This window comes from Homo sapiens, chromosome 13 (assembly GCF_000001405.40).
Source record: "Homo sapiens chromosome 13, GRCh38.p14 Primary Assembly".
Taxonomy (NCBI): domain Eukaryota; kingdom Metazoa; phylum Chordata; class Mammalia; order Primates; family Hominidae; genus Homo; species Homo sapiens.
Genome location: NC_000013.11, coordinates 40,679,582 through 40,682,783, shown reverse-complemented (window position 1 = coordinate 40,682,783; position 3,202 = coordinate 40,679,582). Strand labels below are relative to the sequence as shown.

Sequence of the window (3,202 nt, the reverse complement as noted above, 5' to 3'; positions counted from 1 at the left end):
GAATACGTAACTTTAAAAATCTAGATTGTAATAGCTTCTAGATAGATGACAGTTTGGGCGTGAACCATTTAGCCATCCACTTGTGGTATGGCAGGAGTATATGGTGAGGAGTGGCCAGCTAACATTCTCAGGGGTCGGGGTGCCATGTTTACGTGGGCAGGCTTGATTCCTGGAAGCCGAGCTCATTTACCAGAAGAGCAGCCAATACCATGAATAAATCTGGTCCTGAAAAAGTAAATGCTCTGTTTCTTGGATTATTTATTTATATCAGATGGAGGGGGACAAGAAAGCTTATGCCTTTCCCTGTGGCCATGCAGCGCATGTGAGAATGTGCACTATGGCCGGCGCGGTGGCTCACGCCTGTAATCCCAGCACTTTGGGAGGCCGAGGCAGGTGGATCACCTGAGGTCAGGGGTTTGAGACCAGCCTGGCCAACATGGTGAAACCACATCTCTACTAAAAATACAAAAAAAAAATTAGCCAGGCATGGTTGGGGGCGGGTGCCTGTAATCCCAGCTACTTGGGAGACTGAGGCAGGAGAATTGCTTGAACTCGGGAGATGGAGGTTGCAGTGAGCCCAGATCATGCCATTACACTCCAGCCTGGGCGACAAAAGTGAAACTCTGTCTCAAAAAAATGTAAAAAAAAAAAAAAAAGAGAGAGAGATAGAATGTGCACTGTATTTAGCCTAGCCTGTGGCATTTTGTTTTGCAAATTTTAGTAGTATGGAAGTAAACTATCAGCATAAGAAAAAAGAAAATTCCTATGGCTCTGAATATGTTAGGATTTCTATCAAACACAGGGCCCAGCCCAGCCAGTTCCCAGTGGGGTAGGCTCGGCCCTTGGTCCCTACCAACACATTGACTGCTCTCCCCACAAGGTGATTTCACTGCACTGGACACAAGATGAGATGGTTTAGATGCTGGCACTGGAGCAGCTGCAGTAATGTGAGCTGAAAGGAATGCAGTTGTATGTCGAGAGTGCCAATTTCCAAAGCAGGTTCTTGAAAGGCTGTTTCTCTTCGTATGGTGAGGGACCTGTGCTGTTATCAAGACTAGGAAGGAAGGAGATTCATTAAATGTCATCATCAGCCTGAACAGGTGGTTGGCAAAGGAACGGAAAGCACGGAGATGAAGTTTTAGAGATCGGGGTGATTGCTGGCAACTAACATTATCAACTGTGATTCCAAGAGGCCCCAACTGTGGGAGGCCTGGAGGAAGCCACAGAGGTTATCTGGAGGGCCAGAGCTTACAATCTGGTTGGACTGGATCCAGCTGAATCCATCTGAGGCCAGCTCCAGGAAAGGCAGGTCTGGTATCAAGATGTACAGCAGACCATGGTGGGTGGGGAGCTCAAATTGTACTTACGGGCAACTGGGTGTGGGGAGGAGGGTTGTATGGCTCTGCAAGCATAGACCAGATCCTATGGCTATCCCCACATGAGATAGCGGGAGGATATCCTATGGGAGTTAGCCATAGGATCTGGTCTAAGCTTAACTTGAATTTCAATAGGCTGCCTTTTCTTTTCAATGAGCCCTCCTCACGAATACTTTGCATCCAAAAACTTTCTCCTTCTAATGTTCTAAGGGCTGCCAGCTGCCTCGGGCAGGCTCTCCAGAAGCCTAGGGAAGAGATACAGGGGTCAGGGAAGCATGAGTTGGGACCTCTTTTTTCTCCTATTCTTACCTGTGTTCAGCCTGGTTTACTGAAAGCAAGAGGTAATGAGCCTTTGTGGATGGGTGTGGCTGAATCATTGTGCGTTACCGATACAAGATGATCTGGAAGAAGCCCCTGATGGAACCTAAGGCCCTGGTGGAGTTTCTTTGAATATCATCAGAGGGAACTTGAGACCCGAGATACAGAGGGGACTGCAAACAGGCCTGCAGTGCCTGGGGCTGATTCCACAGGCAAGCACCTGTATCATTATCTCAGGCGACCCCCACAGCAGGAAGATATTATTATGCCAAGTACTCAGATAATGAAACTGCCTGGAGGAATAAGGAGTAGAGCCTGAATTTGAATTTACCACTTTGTCCTGCTGAGTGGTTGGTGAGGGAGGGGTAATAAGCATTAGAGCTATTAACTAAGGAAGCAGCATGGATTACTGGTTAGAAGCAAAGCCGTGGCTCTAGCCTGCCTGGGTTTGTATCCCAGCTGTGCAAGTAACCAACCTCCCTGTGCCTCAATTTCCAATCACACCTGCCCAGTAGGGTCTTGTGAAGATTAAATGAGTTTATATAGAAAAGTGCTTAGAGGCTGGGTGCGGTAGCTCACGCCTATAATCTCAGCACTTTGGGAGGCCAAGGCTGGCAGATCACTTGAGGTCAGGAGTTTGAGACCAGCCCGGCCAACATGGTGAAACCCTGTCTCTACTAAAAATACAAAAGTTAGCTGGGCGTGGTGGCATGTGCCTGTAATCCCAGCTACTCGGGAGGCTGAGGCAGGAGAATTGCTTGAACCCGGGAGGTGGAGGTTGCAGTGAGTCGAGAGTCGAGATCGCGCCACTGCACTCCAGACTGGGCGACAGAGCAAGACTCCATCTCATTAATAAATAAATAAATAAATGAATAAATAAATAAATAAATAAATAAATAAGCTTAGAACAATACCTGGCACATAGTAAGTCAGTTTTCCTGTATGGTGCTGACTGTGCCGCTTTGTTAAACAACTACGCATTAGAAGAGTGGGTTTGGTTGAGACTGCCTCTAAAATTAGTGCTTTATTTGCTTAACTGCCTCCCTGAATTAGGGTCCTTTCATTCCTCATTTGAATGTTAAAAACCTAACCTATGTTTGGAAAAACATAATTGATCATACAGTCATTGTAATTTGCGAGGGCTGCCCTAACAAAATACTACAGACTGTGTGGCTTAAACAACAGAAATTTATTTTCTCACAGTCTGGAGTCCAAGATCAAAGTGCCAGCAGGTTTGCTTTCTCCTGAGGCCTTGCTCCTTGGTTTGCTGACGGCTGCCTTCTCCCTGTTCTCACATGGTCTTTCCCCTGTGCAGGCATCCTTGGCGTCTGTGCATCCAAATCACCCTTTCTTATGAGGACAGAGGTTTGACTGGTAAGGCCTAGCCTAACGGTCTCATTTTAACTTAGTCACCTTTCTAAAGGGCCTGTCTCCAAATATAGTCATATTCTGCCGTAGTGGGAGTTAGACATTTAGCATATGAACTTGGGGAGGAAGAACACAATTCA

General features: G+C 46.8%; 3 annotated features.

Annotated features, from left to right (window-relative positions):
* Positions 581-1,345: an enhancer, noted in NCBI's record as "NANOG-H3K27ac-H3K4me1 hESC enhancer chr13:41255576-41256340 (GRCh37/hg19 assembly coordinates)". NCBI's record gives its function as "activates a minimal SCP1, AML or CMV promoter by ChIP-STARR-seq in naive H9 embryonic stem cells {active_cell/tissue: H9 hESC(naive)}" and the evidence as "EXISTENCE:reporter gene assay evidence [ECO:0000049][PMID:30033119]".
* Positions 1,346-2,110: an enhancer, noted in NCBI's record as "OCT4-NANOG-H3K27ac-H3K4me1 hESC enhancer chr13:41254811-41255575 (GRCh37/hg19 assembly coordinates)". NCBI's record gives its function as "activates a minimal SCP1, AML or CMV promoter by ChIP-STARR-seq in naive and primed H9 embryonic stem cells {active_cell/tissue: H9 hESC(naive and primed)}" and the evidence as "EXISTENCE:reporter gene assay evidence [ECO:0000049][PMID:30033119]".
* Positions 2,111-2,875: an enhancer, noted in NCBI's record as "OCT4-NANOG-H3K27ac hESC enhancer chr13:41254046-41254810 (GRCh37/hg19 assembly coordinates)". NCBI's record gives its function as "activates a minimal SCP1, AML or CMV promoter by ChIP-STARR-seq in naive and primed H9 embryonic stem cells {active_cell/tissue: H9 hESC(naive and primed)}" and the evidence as "EXISTENCE:reporter gene assay evidence [ECO:0000049][PMID:30033119]".